This window comes from Homo sapiens, chromosome 2 (assembly GCF_000001405.40).
Source record: "Homo sapiens chromosome 2, GRCh38.p14 Primary Assembly".
In the NCBI taxonomy this organism is placed as follows: domain Eukaryota; kingdom Metazoa; phylum Chordata; class Mammalia; order Primates; family Hominidae; genus Homo; species Homo sapiens.
In genome coordinates, this window is record NC_000002.12 from 113112215 (window position 1) to 113127836 (window position 15622).

Consider the following 15622-nt stretch of genomic DNA (forward strand, 5'->3'; position numbering starts at 1 on the left):
AACATTTGGGGCGGAGCTTCCGAGGGCCCAGCCACCGTGTTACATGCAACACTCAACAGAGATATTCTTTGGCTAGAGTTGTTTTTCTGGGTATAGGACCCTATAATTAAAATCAGCTCTCCAACTTCCCTTCCTCCAAAAAGTATACAATGTAAGGAGGAAAATGCAAATTGAAAAGTTGCTAGTCCTTCCCGCCAGAATGCCACCTCAAGCCTCCCCTGCAGGAAGTTCTGGAGTCCCCAACTCTGCCCCAAGCCTGAGGCCCTTGATAAGGTAAAGGGATGTGAGTGTGGAGGCCGGAGCCCCCCTCGCCCTGTAGGCTGCTCCCCTTGCTTTTCCCTTTGAATGTTACAGTTTAGTTCTGTGACTTACTTATAATTGCCTGAATTCCCCGCCCACGCTTTCTCTTACTTTGGGGCTTCTCACCGTTCCTCTTCCTCCATCTTCCTCCTCTGACCCCACTCCCAAGCCTGAATGGGGTGTTCCTCTTCCGTGCTCCCACAAAACCCTGTGCCTCTTTCATCGTTGCATATATTATGCTGTAATGTAGTTTTCTGGAGGTGTGAAGACTATGAATCCTATGAAGACAAATACACACCTACCTTGCTGACCGTTGTATCCTCAGAATCTAATACTGCACTTGGCACACAGTGGTTGGGAGTAAATATTCATGAGGCAAACACACAGGAAGGACTCTTTTGTTATGGTTGTTTGTTGTTGTTGCAAGTAACATAACCCCACCTTGATCTAGCTGACTGACGGCTCTACCACCTTGTCTTTTGCAGCACAAGAGGAATAGGAACTGCACCTCTTCCTTCAGTTTCAGCTTGAATAATATCAGGAAGATTCGTATCGGTCTGAGTTGGGTCACGTACCCGACGTGCTATAGCTGAGGATGGGGTAAGCTGATTGGAGTTTGCAACACTGTTCACATAGCCAAGATATGGAAAGAACCTAAATGTCAACTGGTGGATGAATGGATAAAGAAATTGTGGTATATACATACACTGGAATATTATTCAACCTTAAAAAGAAGGAAATCCTAACATTTGTGACAACATGGATGGACCTGGAGGGAATTATGCTGAGTGAAATAAGACAGACACAAAAAGACATTTCTTGCAGGAGCTCACTTATATGTGGAATCTAAAATAGTCAAGCTTAAAGAAGAGAGTAGACTACTGGTTGTCAGGAGCAGGAGAAAAGTGGAAATGAAGAGGTGATAGTTAAAGGGTACAAAGTTTCAGTTATACAAGATAAATAAGTTCTGGAGGTTTACTATTAATATATCACATAGTACCTATAAGTAACAATACTGTATTGTATACTTAAAATTGCTAAGAGGGTATATCTTATATGTTCTTACCAATAATAATAATAATGGTAATAATTAAGGGGCAGGAGGACACTTCAAAAGGTGATGGATATGTTTATGGCCTTGATGGTGGTGATGGTTTCATGAGAGTATACTTATCCCCAAACTAATTGAGATGTAAATATTAAATATGTACAGCTTTTTGTATGTCAATCGTACCTCAGTAAAGTAGTTTAAAAATGGTTGGACTGAGAAAAGGAGGAGCTGCTCAGCAACATGAGGCTGGGTGCTGGGCAGACAAAACCTCACACATGCATTACTGAACCCACGGACTCATGTCTGTGAGCTTTGTGGCTGTGGATGCACCATGCCAATGTAGTCAAGGATTCTTCAATGTGTACCTTACTGGATTAGTTCCCTCTGTTTATTTGTATTGACTCCTCAGTTCCCTTATGGGTTGCTTGTTGGCTCTTGTGGAATTATTTAAGTAAGGCTTTGGTTGCAGGAGTCAGACATGCTTAAGCTGGTTTTGGCTGTAATGGGGAATTTGTGAGATGTGACACAGTGACAGGAAGTGCAGCCAGACGTTGTGAGAGGCAGTAACTGGGAATAGGAAAGTTATGAGAAGTTAAGGCAGTAGTAATTGTTTCTCTATCGAAGGCCATAATGTTATCATTCCTGCCTCTATCTGTTTGCTTGTTCTTCTCTCTCAGCAGAATGGTCTTCTCTGCTTCTCTGTGCACCTGCAGAAGGTGACCACCCTAAGGCTTATGGATTCAGGAGTCCTCAGTTTGAGAGCAGTTACCAAATGCCTCGCCCCTGTGAACTCTAGTCCCAGTTTCTTATTCCTGGTACTGGCTTAGTTTGAGGCAGCTGCCCACCGTTAAGTCCAGTGAGCCATGGCCTGGGGACAAGGTCAGGTACATGTGTAATCAGCTGGGTCTGTGAGTTGTGGTGGTGGCGATGGAGGTAGCTCCCAGAAAAATGGATTACAGGTTAAGAAGAGTCTATATATCTTGACCACATTTGATGTGACTTGGAAGTTTCAATGTGTGACCACTTACAAAGTTATGATCAGGTGTCTCATTTATTTATGGTGATGTATGAGTCCGTGTGTGAGTGTGTGTGTGTCTGTGTTTGTGTGTGTGTGTGAGAGAGAGAGAGAGAATGAGAATATGAGTGGTGGTTTCCCATTTATTTTTCTATGGGCCAAATCCTGGGCTATGAGCTGGAGATATAAGAGTAAACAAAATAGACACGGTGCTTGCTGTGACCTGCCCTGGGAGACAGATATTACACGGAGGATCACATAAATGCAGAGTCTGAGCTGAGGTCTTAAGGGTGAGGATAAGTAACTAGTCAGTGGAGCAGGGGAGGGAAGGGTGTTCCATGCCTGTGTCAAGGTCCTGAGGTGAGAGAAAGAGGTGAATTTGAGGAACCAAAAGGAGTTCAGGGAACAAGAGGGGCTGTTTCACAAGCTGAGTCTGGAAGCTGAGCAGGCTGAGCAGATTCTTAGGAACTCTGCAAAAACTTAAGGGCTTGTCTATGACCGTAAACAACTACGGTCGTAGATAAACAAGTTGGCAAACAACTCAAGGATTTACAGTCATCAGAATTGTAAAACTGATCCCATGTATTTTCAAACCTCAAATCCCTTGCTCTGACCTTGTGTGTCTAAGCTAGAAGGAAGCAGGATGCACCTCTCCCCTGGCTGGAATGAAGGGATTCACCCAAGCTCTCAGTCTTCTCACGGCATCCAGGGCCCCCCTGCTTGTGTGTGGTCTAGATTTCCATTCCCATAGTAGGAATTCCTTTGGGAGCCTTGGGGTCTCTCCTGCTAGAGGGCTTCACCTGTGACTGTCTCAATTCAAGGGAGGGGTTCTAATAACATTAAACCTCAATATCTTGCTCCTCCATTCCTGATGCCTCCCTTTCCTTCTACCCTTCCCCTACCTCCTTCTTTCCTATGCCACAGGCTGGCAGGTTAGTGCCAGAGCAAGTGGCCAGTCACCATCATTGGGGTTGTGGATCCTCAGGGTTCTTCAGAAGCCCCTTCACCATGATCAAGAGTCTCCAGTCACTCAGAATTCCACGGTTCCCAAATGCCAGCTCTCCCACTACTCCCAGCGTTCTCCATCTCTGGGATGTTGGGCTCCAGGCTTCTCAGATGCACTGAGTACCCTAGGCTAAGCCACTGATCCATCAGAACTTCATAGCCTGAGAGGAGAGGGAGACAGGCTTGCAAAGGAGAGTTCTGACTAGACACTGGGGTGCTACAGATGCCCGTAAGTTGTCCCTTTACCCTCGATGTCCCCAGTGTTGGGACCACCTGGGAATGCCCAGCCTTGTGTGCTGATTGACTTGTAGTCCCCTGGCCCTGACTGGAAGCCTAGTTTTCTCTCTCATGACCAGCTAGGCCCCTAGCTCCCCAGGGAAGAAATCCAATCTATTTCCTCTGATAGTAATGGCTAATACTTAAATAATGCCAACCACATGCCAAGCACTTTACAGTTGTTAGCCCAGTCTTCACAAGCACCTTGTGAGGTGGGCAAGAGTCTTATCTTACTCTCATTTTATAGATGTGGCCCAGGATCCCACAGCTATAGTTCATGGTGCTGGGATTTGAACCTCTGGCCACCAGAGCCCACCTTAATGTGTCCTCCTCCTGTTGTCATAACAGAAAAGTACAACACCATGATGACACATCAGGCTATCCTGGCAGGTTCCCAGGCTGCCCCAATGCCCAACTTTCTAGGTTTACAAAGTTGACATTTACGAAGTTTCCAGGTTTACAAATCTAGTTTCTGATTCTTTAGTCAGCAGGAATTTCTCTACAAAAGCTGCTTCGAAAATTTCCAGCCAAACCTTACACACCTTGGCATTACATCTTGGTGAGCCAAGGCGGAAGAGAACAGGAAGTGAAGGCCCCATGGGAAGTCCCTGCGGTCGGGAGCACCCAGGCGGGGCGGGGGGTGGGGGGCTTTCCTGTGGCCGGCTCCCTGCCCCTCCCACCCCCATTCAGGCCCTGTGAGTTGAATGAAGAGACCCTGGGAATGAGTCCAGGTCTGCAGGGTTAGAGGAAATTGAAGGCCCTTACCAGATCCCTGTTGAGAAGTTTATGAATTATGAGCCCTTCTGCAAATGAGAGGGTTCTTCCCTGTCAGGAGGGACAGATTGTAGGTGGCAAGATTGGTGGCAGCCAGTAGGCTGGTCTGCTCCTTCCTCTCTATTTCATATGTGTATGAAGGCATTACCTGCAGCAAGGGCCTGTGTAAATGCATGTGATTTACAGAGCATTTTATGTACTGCGTGTCATTCATGCTTCCGGTGAGCCCTAAGTCTAAGATAGGGCAGATAGCATCAGGTCCATTTTGCAGCTGTCAAAATGAGGTCTGAAGGGCAGAAGTGGTGTGCCCACACACACACAACTGGTTGGCTGCAGACCTGGGGACTAGACCCGGGACTTCGTCCTGCCCAGGGGTCTCTTGCCACTGCTCCCCATCAACTTGGATGGCTTTAAGCATTTGTGAGTTGTCTGCTCCCTGATGGCAGAATGCAGAGACATGAAGCTACAAGCAGGTTCGCTCCCAACGGCAAAAAGGAGGAGGGGTGTTCAGAACATCAGGTGCTTCTAGAGAAAGCAGGGAGAGAGTATCTGGCCTTGTGGACAATGTCACGGCAGAGGCCAGGTATAGGGCATGGGGGTAACTGGAAGCGGGATGGACCCTGTTATTCCCTAAGACATGGCTTCCACGTAGTGCTCAAACAAGGCCTTTGCCCTTGCTGTTCCCTCCACCTGGAATATTCTTCCCCTTCCTTGACATTGCTCAGGTCTCCACTCTTATGTCACCCTCTCAGAGAGGGCTTCCCTGGCCACTTTCCCTAAAATAGCCACCCACTCCTAGGTCCCTCAAAAGCATATCCTGCTTTGGATTTTCCCTATAGCAATATGCCCTATGAAGTTATTTTATTTGCTAACTTGTTTCTTGTCTGTTTTCCTTTGTTAGAGCGTTGGGGACCTTGTCTGGCTTGTTCCCAATGCCTGGAAGAGTGCCTGGCACACAGGATTAAGCCAACACATATGTTTTGAATGAATGTGTGCACACATGCATGAGCTGGCGGCAGTCGGGGTTGGGGTAAGCACGAAGGCCCAGCTCAGTTCTCTGCATGTGACCTCCCATCTTACGCAGATAAGAACCAGTTTGGTTTCTGCTAGCCTGAGTCACCCTCCTGGAAACTGGGCCTGCTTGGCATCAAGTCAGCCATCAGCCGGCCCATCTCCTCATGCTGGCCAACCCTCTGTGAGTGTGTGGGAGGGGAGGCTGGGCTCCTCCTTGTACTCTCTGAGGTGCTCTGGAAGGAGGGGCAGCTCCACCCTGGGAGGGACTGTGGCCCAGGTACTGCCCGGGTGCTACTTTATGGGCAGCAGCTCAGTTGAGTTAGAGTCTGGAAGACCTCAGAAGACCTCCTGTCCTATGAGGCCCTCCCCATGGCTTTAGGTAAGCTCCTTCCACTCTCATTTTTTCACCTGAGAAATGAGAGAGGAAAATGTCTACAATTGGTGTTTATCAAATGCTTTCAGGCTCTGGTGAGCAAGCGTCCAGGAAAATGTCAAGCGCATGGAGCTCCAGGCCTGTCTGGGGGATCTGGGCACGGGGAGGCATCCATGGGAGACCATGCAGGCACTCTGAGGCAGGGGCTGCAAGCCTAGTGCCTGCTGGGGCAGCAGGTGAACAGAGAGGTGTAACTGCTGTGACAGAAGTCATGGAGTCCTTGGAGTGTGAGGGTCATTTTCCACTGTTGATAGAATAGGGAAATTGGTGAAATAGCCCTGTTAAATGAGAGAAAGAACAGTGTGAGCTCAATGAGAAATACTAATAGAATGTGGCACTGAGCCACAAGGTCTGAGGGTTGATTGATAAGGAAGGGTGGGGACTGTGGAGAATTAAGGGCTTGGCACAGTCAGTTCCACCAGTTGTCACAAGAGAATGCAGGCTCAGGTGGCCAGAACTTCTCGCTTTTCCAGAAGAGTCCGATATTCTGATTTCATTATATATAGTATTCTGATTAAACCAGACAATAAAGCAAGCAGATAAAATATTTAAATTATAAGCTGCCAGTTTGCAACCTCCGGTTAGGATTTGTGTGGGGCAAAGAAAAAAACTCTCAGGATCATTGGTATGTAGACTCTAATTTTAAGTTTCTAATTTAAAATTGGCCCCTGAGGCTGGGCGTGGTGGCTCACACCTGTAATCCCAGCATTTTGGGAGGCCAAGGTGGGTGGATCTCTTGAGGTCAAGAGTTCAAGGCCTGCCTGGCCAACATGGTGAAACCCTGTCTCTATTAAAAATACAAAAATTAGCTGGGCATGGTGGTGCATGTCTGCAATCTTAGCTACTTGGGTAGCTAAGGCAGGAGAATTGCTGGAACCCGGGAGGTAGAGGTTGCAGTGAATGGAGATCACACCACTGCACTCCAGTCTGGGCAATAGAGAGAGACGCTCTCTCTAAAAAAAAATATGTAAAGATAAATAAAATGAAATAAAATAGGCCTCTAATGAGCAGGCCATTCTCCTTTCTGGGTCTTACTTTCCTTGCACTCCTTTCTGGGTGTTAAGAGGAGGTCTAGAGGAAGCTGGACAACTCTTAGCTTGTAGTAAGCACAGTGGAAGTGTCAGCTCTTAATGGGTCATGGACACGTTACAAGCTAGGCGCCTTGCTGAGCACTTTACATGGTTTATCCCACTGAACCCTCTCAATAACCCTATGAGGAAGGGCTATTATTGCTCACATTTTCAGAAGAGGAAATGGATATAGAGAGATTAGATAATTTGCCCATGGCCAGACAGCTAGTATAAGAGGAGGAGGTGGATTGACTGCAGACATTCTGTCTTCAAACCACTACACTATGCTATGGGGGCACAGAGACTTAATGAAATCATGGAGAGGGGAATTGCTTTGTCAACCACAAGCAGTTATTCCGGGGGCAGCAGATCCTCCCCTGTCCCCCAGTGGGTACAATGGTCCCTGGTGGGTTGTGCTACAATGTTAGCCCATGGTCTTATGTGTTTTTCAAATGTGTAAAGTAGGATGCTGGAACCACTCTTAGAACCAGATACCAATACATTGTGAAGAAATAAATCTCTGTGCTTAAAACTGGTTCATCCCAAAATATTTTGAACTGACACACAATAGGTGCTAAATAAATGTGTGTTAACTTGAATTGGATTGAATTCGGGAAAAAAGTGCAATAAGCTTAGTGAAGACACCATGTTCCCTGGGTAGAGGAACCACATTCTCCATCTAAGGCCAGGAGTATGGGAGGTATCAATGTTTGCCCAGCACAGAACAGGGTGCCAAGAAGAGAAAAGTTGACGGGGTGCATACTCGGACTGGAAACTGGAAGGGTGAGAACAGAGGGTAAAGGATAGAGATGGAACCATGTGCATACACTTTGTGTTACCTTGGACAAGTCATTCATTTCTCTGGACCTCTGCTTTCTCTCTACACAATGGGGTCCCACCACTTCCCTTACAGCTGACTTGTATGAAGAAGGAGGTGGAGGAGGAGGAGAAGGTGAAGACAATGCTGACTCAAAGGGTAAATTATTTTTAGGATCCAAGTTTGAAAACAATTTTAGGCTACTAGATATGAACAACATCTTGATTATGTAGTTGAAGGAAATTAAAGATGAATGGTTTAATTAAAAATTAATCAGAATGAAAACGATTGATTACTAATATATCTGCAATGGTTTATTTTCCTGAGTGGCAGACTCACTAAGGTTTTTGAATACTCCTGTGTGATTGCTCTATGTATGTATGTATGTATGTATGTATGCATGTATCTATCTATCTGTTGTCTAATAAAATGGATCACATCTCTGCTAATAAAAACACTACACTGGCAGGGTACAATTATAATCATTAACTGTGCCTGGAATTTGCAGCAGCAGCCACCAGAGGTACCAGTGCCCTTTAAGGGTTCATAATTTAGAATAATCCAATTATCTGAGTTTTTCAGGGACTGAGGGGTTTGGCAAGGTGTAGAACTTTCAGTAATAAAGTCAAGAAAGTCCTGGACAAACCAAGGTAGTTGGTCACTCTAGTCCATAACCAGGTAAAGAGCTTTCCCTGTAACCTGTGTAAGGTTTTAGAATCATTTCTTTCCTTATTACCAAAAATCCTCCCCAAATTTTCAAGAAATTATGAACTAAATAGTTACTCTATGAGATAGGAGTTCAGCCCAAAAGAAACACCATAAGAACAAATATAATTCTTGCTTATGTTAACCATGCAATGAAGCAGAGAGAAAAAGTCAGTGGCCTCTTTAGGAGGACTGTAGTGTGGGAAGAAATAACTAAACTGGGTTTCAATCCTGGCCTGGCCAGGATCTGGAGCAAGTGAGTTAATCTTTCTAAGCCTTGAGTAGTTTCTTCTTCTTCTTCTTCTTCTTCCTCCCCCTTCTCCTCTTCTTCTTCCTCCTCCTTCTCCTCTTCTTCTTCTTCTTCTTCTTCCTCTTCTTCTTCTTCCTCCTCCTCCTCCTCCTCTTCTTCTTCTTCTTCTTCCTCTTCCTCTTCCTCTTCTTCCTCTTCCTCTTATTCTTCTTCATCGTCTTCGTCTTCGTCTTCTTTTTATTTTCAAAGTGAAAGCAAGTTTATTAAGAAAGTAAAGGAATAAAAGAATGGCCACTCCATAGACAGAGTAGCCTGAACCTTGAGTTCTTCTATAAAGTCACTATGAATTTATACTCATTTTGAAAGTGGGTGTCAATATGTCTGTCCACTTTGCACAGCTGTTATGTGGACAAAAGGAGATCTGTGTGAAAGTGTAACACAGAGCCTAAACTATAACAGGTAAGCAACACAGTTGTCCCCTTCCCCATGGTGTCTGTTCTTCTCCATTTCCTCCTGTCTGCAGGGGGATTATAAAACTAATCATCAAAGCCAAGAAGGCAAGAGCAAGCATGTACCGCTGAAAACACAAGATAACTGCATAAGTAATGACTTTCAGTGCAGATTCATAGCTAACCCATAAACTGCTGGGGCAAAAATCATCTTGGAAGGCTCTGAACCTCAGAAAGGATTCACAGTAAGTTAACCATGTAGATCTGAGAGGAGAGTAGCTTCTTGTAGATAACAGTTGGATTATATACCATGTCCTGATCCCCTTCATCATCCAGGAGAGCAGAGGTGGTCACCCTGATAGCAGCAAGCCTGGGGGCTGCAGCTTGGTGGGTAGAGGTACTCAGGGGTACAGATGTCTCCAAACCTGTCCTGCTGCCTTAGGGAGCTTCTAATAAGTTGATGGATTTGGTTAAAATTAACTTGGCTACTTGGCAGGACTGGGTCAGTGAGGACCAACAAAAAGAAGACATCAGATTATACCCTGGGGGTTTGTATTTCTTGTGTTTCTTTCTCTTCTTTGTACTAAAATATTTACCCATGACTGGGAAAGAGCAACTGGAGTCTTTGTAGCATTATCTTAGCAAAAATTTACAAAGTTTGGAAAACAATATTGCCCATATTGTGTGGTGTGTCCTGTGACACTCAGGATTCAAGTGTTGGCCGAAGCCACTAAATGTGAGATGAAGCCATTACAAGGCAGTGTGCACATCTGTCCACCCAAGCTGGATGCCAACATTTCACAAATAGTGCTTGCGTGACACAAATGCAGTTCCAGGAGGCCCAAATGAAAATGTTTGTACTGAAATTTGTTAAAGCTTCCCGACAAACTAGATTTATCAGTAAGGATTGTTTTCTGCAAGGGGGATGAAACTTGTGGGGTGAGCCATTTGGGCTGAGGAGGAGGGAGGTTGGAGCTGAGAAATGTGGAGACAATTTCCCTTTAGAAGGACTGAATCTCCCTGCCTCTCTGGGGTGCGGCAGCCAGCAGGATCCAATGGTGTATATGTCTCCCCAGCTCCCCATTCAGTGATATCATGTCAGTAGCTTGAAATTATCCGTGGTGGGAGTATTATGTCATGGAAATTGGCAAATGGAAACTTTTATTGGAGATTCAATTGTTAAACTTTTACCAGCACAACACTGCCCTGCCTTCAGAGTCAATGACCCTATCCAAGTTTAATCCATCTGTCCACTGTCTCCAACACGATCTTTATAAAACACACCTGACAACATTACCCTTTTATTCAGTTTTTTAAAAGATAAGTTTCCAGCTCATCGGGCTGGCTTTAAAGGCCATTTCTCCTCTGGACCTCACCCAACTTTTCAAATCACTTTTCCTACCCCTACCTCTAAATGCTACTCAAACTCCAGCCATCCTGAATAATAAGACTTTTGAAAAGTAGATTATGGGCTGGGCACAGTGGCTCACACCTGTAATCCCAGCACTTTGGGAGGCCAAGATGGGTGGATCACCTGAGGTCGGGAGTTCGAGACCAGCCTGACTAACATAGTGAAACCCTGTCTCTACTAAAAATACAAAATTAGTTGGGGGTGGTGGCACAAGCCTGTAATCCCAGCTACTCAGGAGGTTGAGGCAGGGGAATTGCTTGAACCTGGGAGGCGGAGGTTGCGGTGAGCCTAGATTGCTCCACTGCACTCCAGCCTGGGCAACAAGAGCGAAACTCCATCTCAAAAAAATAAATAAATAAATAAAGTAGATTACATCAGATACCTCTGGCCTAGGTTGTTTATGACCAACTCTCCTGCTGAGAATAACTAGAAAAGCTAGACAAAACATATTTCCAAAAGATCTCTTTGGAGGCATCAGAGAATGGCCAAGGCTGTAAGGAACTGCCTGAGCCCAGAGAGGTGGAGCCCAGCACTGGTGCCCTTTACTCCTGGGGACATGTGCTGGTTTCAAAAACTTCAGCTGAGTTTTTGAGCATTCATGGAACTTGGTGGGGGAGATGAAATTTGTACCTTAAATCCTGCCTACAGGGAGGGTCCCTGATAATCCCCACCCAATTTGGAAATCTGGGTCAGCCTTCACAGGTACTGAAGCCCTCCTCTGAATGATCTCAAGTCCTGCTAGGGTAGAGGTTACCTGCTTTTGAAAGGCTCCTGGCCTACCTGTGCAGCAGGAGCAAAAGTGAACCATCTCAGGGTACAGATAACAATCATCCAGAGCCTTGAATGACCTCTACTGTGCTTAATATATAGTATTCAGCAGTCAGTAAAAAGGATTTAGGCACATGCAAGATGACCTGTGTATCAGGGAGAAATAGGCAATAAATTGAGATCCAGCAGGGATTTGAATCATGGATTTGAATCAGGGGCAGCCTTCGAAAGAACTGTGGAGAATATACTCAGATTTAAAACATAAGATTGGAATTTTTGGCAGAGAACTAACAACTGTACAAAAAAGGAACCAAATGGAAATCCTAGAACTGAAAGATGCAATTAACCGATGTTGAGAAATAGCCAACATCTATTGAACACTTCCCATGTGGACAGCTGTGCTAAACACTTTACAGGCATCAACATAAGATGTGTCCCCTTACAGCAGTGCAGTGTCCCTCCTAAGACATGGACAGCCTGGTTTCCCTATCTCTCTGCTTCATCAAAACCCCTTTACGTGGGGCTTAGACACTCCTGTTGTCTCTAGTGTCTAGTAGCACAGGGCTCAGCACATGGAAGCCACTAGATACAATTTGATGACCAGGACCTCCGATGAAAGCCATGGGTGCTGATTGGGAAGGCATTGTCTTTTATGTGCTATGGTCTTAAAGCTTCATCCAGGAAGCAGAACTCGGGGGGTGCTGAGGACCCAGAACCGAGAATAAGATTAGTCAGAGATTTCCTGTGGGCAGAAATCATAAGGACGCCAACTGTTTGGGTGAGATAAGACGAAACCAAGAGTGGACTTGTGGCCAGAAGCGTGAGGAAGAGGGAGAGAGCTTCCCTTGTCCCCTTTCTTCCTCTCCCTAAGCCACAGTGATTGACAGCCCCCCCCCTTTGGAGTCAGAGCAGGCTTGAGACTGGACTGGGAAAGGAGGGTGGGTCAGGATACAGAGCAGGAAGGCTGGGAGTGCAGGGCAGGAGCAAGGGGCTGGGGCATTCATTGTGCCTGATCTCTCCCACTTTACCTGGGGTAAAGAAGCATATGCAAAAGCCACGGTGTGAGTATTTCCCAAGTGCCAGGGTCAGGGCATGATTCATCACGTGCAGCATTTCATTCAATCCTTATAGTAACCGATGATGTGGCTTCTATTATTAGCTCTATCAGATAATGAAACTGAGACCAAGACAGGCTCTGCACATTGTGTGGGGTAATGACACAGGGGGATTCAGACCTAGACTCCATAACTCCTGCCCCAGGGACCACCCCCACCCTCACCCTGTGCATGTCGACAAAGGACAGACTGGGCCACTTCTCAGGACACAGCGGGGAAATGACACAGAGCAGGGAGGTTCCAGGAGCCCCGAGCGTCTTTTCTCCAGGAGAATACTCTCTGAATTCAGACTGGGGTCAGAGAAACATTTACCCAGGAGCCGCAGTGTGGGTGGGGCTTTTTACTTGAAACGCTGTCTGAAGGCAGTGGCCAGGATGGAACTCTCCACCCTACCTTGGCAAGCCACTTCTCTTCTGCAATCTGTAAGGACATTGTTGAGAGAATTATGGTCTTCCAATTCCGGAGGGTTGAAGAAAGACAAATAGGAGAGAACCTATCATAGTCAGGTGCTAGCTGCCTTCTCTTTCAGAGAGTGTGAGAATAAAGTGATACACTTGATTATTAGCAAATACTTTGGAAATTTTAAACGCTAATATTCAACACACTCTGGAAGAGGCAAATAAGTAGACAGGTTCATATACATCATCTCCTTCAGCTAGTCCTCACAAAAACAAACAAATGAATAAACAAAATTCTTCTTTGGCCCTCATAGGAAGACACTGTTTCTTGAACGTGTTTCAAAAAGGATGGGTGACTCACTCAAGGTCACACTGTTTATGAGGACAGTACAGGAATACAGACATGCCATTTTGCCTGAAAAAATCCATCACCCAGGGAGGTGACACAATTTTGCAGAAATGTTCTATTTCCTCTGAAGGATACATTCTTTAAACCTTTGGGAAATTCATTCATAGTCTTCCTCCTTTGAAGGATTAACTCTCTGGACACAAAGTGTTTGATTCTGATTTGTTGGTTGGAAGATGTGTTGGTTGAGAGAAAGATTCTGATTTGTTGGTTGAAAATAGACTCATCAAGATCAACTGCTGTAGTAGTAAATATTTTGACATTTTGTCTGTATTCCTGTGCTGCCCTCACAAGCTGCATCACCTTGAGTGAGTCATTCATACTTTTTTGTTTGTTTTTGTTTTGGAGATGGAGTCTTACTCTGTTGCCTAGGCTGGAGTGCGGTGGCGTGATCTTGGCTCACTGCGACCTCCATCTCCTGGGTTCAAGTGATCCTCCTGCCTCAGCCTCCCGAGTAGCTGGGATTACAGGCACATGCCACCATCCCTGCTAATTTTTGCATTTTCAGTAGAGACGGAGTTTCACCATGTTGGTCAGGTTGGTCTTGAACTCCTGACCTCAGGTGATCCGCCCACCTCAGCCTCCCCAAGTGCTGGGATTACAGGTGTGAGCCACCGTGCCCAGCCCAGCCATCATTTTTGAAACACGTTTGAGAAATAGTGTCTTCCTTTGAGGGCCAAGGAGACATTTTTTTTGTTTATTTGTTTGTTTTTGTGAGGACTAGCTGAAGGGGGTGATGTATATTAACCTGCCTACTTATTTGCCTCTTCCCAGAGTGTGATGAATATTAGGGTTTAAAGTTTCTGAAGCATTTGTTAATAAAGCCCGGGGCTGGAGGTCAGAAGACCTGGATTTCTCTGCATACTTTTGCCATCAGCAAGCTGTGTGACCTTGGACAGATCCCTTTTTTGTCTAAATCTTTCTGAGTCTTCTTGAAAACAATGCCAGGTTGGGACAGGATGATTGCCAAGCTCCCGTCCAGCTCTAAAACACTGCAACGTATGCTTCTGCACCAGCACTGTCCATCCTGTAGATCATGCAGAAATTCTCTTCAACTTTTTCCTACCCATAAAATAGGAGCATGCTTACCTTTTTCCTAATGTTCCAGGCCCCGGGTCTAGAATATTGTAAGTAAGGAAGTTAATGTGTATCAGAGCCCATTATGGGCCAGAAGTTCTCCTCTTCCTTCCTACACCTGCTTCCTCCCTCCCTCCCTCCCTCTTTCCCTTCCTTCCTTCCATCCATTTGTGAAGAAGACATGATCACCCTCATTCTGAGAGTGAAGAGACAGAGGCTCAACTAATGAAATGATTTGTTCAAGGTCACACGGGTGGCACAAGGCAAGTGGCAGAGGTTGAATTTAGACCCATTCCTGTCCAAATGCTGAGTTTATGTCATCGTCCCGAGACCATAACTTTAAAGATGTAAGATAGTGGGAAAAGAGTTGATTTCAAAGCACCTCTCAGAAGGACTCACTTTACATCAGGGGTCAGCAGACTCAGGCCAAATCCGGTCCATTCCCCGCTTTTGCAAAGAAAGTTGTAGTGGAACACAGCTAGGCTTATTGATTTATGGATTGCCAACGTCCTTTTGTGAAACAGACAGCTGAGCTGAGTAATCGTGGCGCACAAAACCTAAAATATTTACTATCTCGTCCTTTACAGAATGTTTGCCAATCTATGGTCCGGAGTCCAAGGCTGTCCATTTTTCAAAGAACACAAAGTGACATGAGACTGTCCCATGTGCAGGGAGCCCTATCATTTTATTATGAAAAAACGGCCTTTCTGCTCAAATCTGTTTTTTAAAAAGTCAACAAACAGACTCTGGGTACCTGTCAGGAACAGTAGGGAGTTTGGTTTCCATTGTGCTCTTCTTCCCAGGAACTCAATGAAGGGGAAATAGAAATCTTAATTTTGGGGAAATTGCACAGGGGAAAAAGGGGAGGGAATCAGTTACAACACTCCATTGCGACACTTAGTGGGGTTGAAAGTGACAACAGCAAGGGTTTCTCTTTTTGGAAATGCGAGGAGGGTATTTCCGCTTCTCGCAGTGGGGCAGGGTGGCAGACGCCTAGCTTGGGTGAGTGACTATTTCTTTATAAACCACAACTCTGGGCCCGCAATGGCAGTCCACTGCCTTGCTGCAGTCACAGAATGGAAATCTGCAGAGGCCTCCGCAGTCACCTAATCACTCTCCTCCTCTTCCTGTTCCATTCAGAGACGATCTGCCGACCCTCTGGGAGAAAATCCAGCAAGATGCAAGCCTTCAGGTAAGGCTACCCCAAGGAGGAGAAGGTGAGGGTGGATCAGCTGGAGACTGGAAACATATCACAGCTGCCAGGGGCTGCCAGGCCCCAGAGGGCCTG

At 45.8% G+C, this 15622-nt stretch overlaps 1 protein-coding gene across 10 annotated transcripts in view, besides 1 other annotated feature; it reads left to right on the top strand.

Annotated features, from left to right (window-relative positions):
• IL1RN (interleukin 1 receptor antagonist) overlaps positions 1-15622 on the top strand; it is a 34655-nt gene that overhangs the window by 12855 nt on the left and 6178 nt on the right. For 2 of the 10 annotated variants that reach the window (XM_047444184.1, XM_011511121.2), the window contains 4 exons: positions 786-900; positions 7852-7914; positions 9234-9404; positions 15475-15526. In XM_047444184.1, coding sequence (XP_047300140.1) covers positions 15513-15526 — 14 coding nt within the window. In that variant the 5' untranslated portion in view covers positions 786-900; positions 7852-7914; positions 9234-9404; positions 15475-15512. Of the gene's footprint in view, positions 1-785; positions 901-5322; positions 5452-5756; positions 5815-7851; positions 7915-9233; positions 9405-15274; positions 15337-15383; positions 15527-15622 lie in introns of those variants that run through there. The other 8 variants (XM_047444185.1, NM_001318914.2, XM_047444186.1 and 5 more) reach the window with 8 other exon arrangements.
• Positions 12220-12289: an enhancer, noted in NCBI's record as "active region_16412". NCBI's record gives its function as "activates an Ori minimal core promoter by ATAC-STARR-seq in GM12878 lymphoblastoid cells {active_cell/tissue: GM12878}" and the evidence as "EXISTENCE:reporter gene assay evidence [ECO:0000049][PMID:35858748]".